Source organism: Homo sapiens, chromosome 5 (assembly GCF_000001405.40).
Source record: "Homo sapiens chromosome 5, GRCh38.p14 Primary Assembly".
NCBI lineage: Eukaryota > Metazoa > Chordata > Mammalia > Primates > Hominidae > Homo > Homo sapiens.
The window spans coordinates 168,637,264-168,638,476 of NC_000005.10; the positions used below are offsets into that span (position 1 = coordinate 168,637,264).

General features: G+C 44.1%; 1 annotated feature.

Annotated features, from left to right (window-relative positions):
- Positions 242-742: an enhancer, noted in NCBI's record as "H3K27ac hESC enhancer chr5:168064510-168065010 (GRCh37/hg19 assembly coordinates)". NCBI's record gives its function as "activates a minimal SCP1, AML or CMV promoter by ChIP-STARR-seq in primed H9 embryonic stem cells {active_cell/tissue: H9 hESC(primed)}" and the evidence as "EXISTENCE:reporter gene assay evidence [ECO:0000049][PMID:30033119]".

Below are 1,213 nucleotides of genomic sequence, written 5' to 3' on the forward strand. Positions count from 1 at the left end.
CTTTGCAGGGCCTTTTCAAAAAATGTCAAATAAATATATTTTGGCGTAAAATACTTTAGTTTCTTTCAGGGCCTGCTGTCTGTCATGTTATGCTATACTAGATTCAGGCTGGAATTTGGTGTTTTATTGCTAAAGAAAAGTCTTTTTTTGTCAGTCTTAACTTCTCTGTTTTAATGTTAATGCTGATCAGCTGTGCCTGAATTCCAAAGGGAGGAGGCTATAATAAGACATACCTGACCCCTGCTTCCCATCATGGCCTGAAGTACTTTTTCAGTTAACTTTGGAATGCCCTTGGCAGAAAGGAGGGGTGCATTCAGTTGGTTGAAAGGCTTAGAGTTTTATTTTTGGTTTACAAAGTCGAACCTCAGCTGAGACACCCATTATTCTCAGCATCCTCCTTCAGAGAGCCCCAGCTTAGAATGACCTCAGGACTTCCAACTAGTATCCTCTTCTCCTTCTAGAATTCTCTTGGAGGTGACTAGAAAGAAACATGGTGCTTAGCTCAGAGCCAAGACATTTTGGCAGCTTCTTCTCATTTGTAACACTCATGTGCAAATATAAGGATGGTTGTTGGGTCAGCCTGGGCCTGGTCTCCAGGGATATGGCCCTTCCAGACCTCCACTTTCCTTGAGCTTCCAGGCTTCCTGCTGTCCATCACATAACCTGTTATCCCTGGCCAAGGACATGGGGTAAAAGAGCAACCACCTAAGTTGCCAGTGCTGGGTGCTGGAGCCTTGAGATTTATTGCACTTAGGCTTAGCTGAGAAAAGGATTAAAGAAGTGGGGAAAAGTCATAAGTTACCACACTTCAACAGTGTGTGTGAAATCTCAGTGCCATTCAGACAGCAGACTGCATAGTTGAAGTTTCTCCACCCTCCCTGAAAGATTTCACAGAGCCCATGGGCACATCCACAAACCGGGCACATGCATGAACAAGGCCCCTCTTCTCCAGCCAGCAACCCAAACCAAGACAGGATGTACTCACATTGTTAGGCCTCTTGTTGAGAAAGAGCTTAGATTTCTTTTGTTGGGCAGACCTAGACTCTTATTTTATTTTTGGTAGATACTGGGTCTCACTATGTTGTCCAGGCTGGTCTCAAATTCCTGGCCTCAAGCAATCCTCCTGTCTCAGCCCTCCGTAGCACTGGGATTATACCCAGCCACTGGGAATTTTTTTTTTTTTTTTTTTTTTTAAGAGACAGAGCCTCTTTTG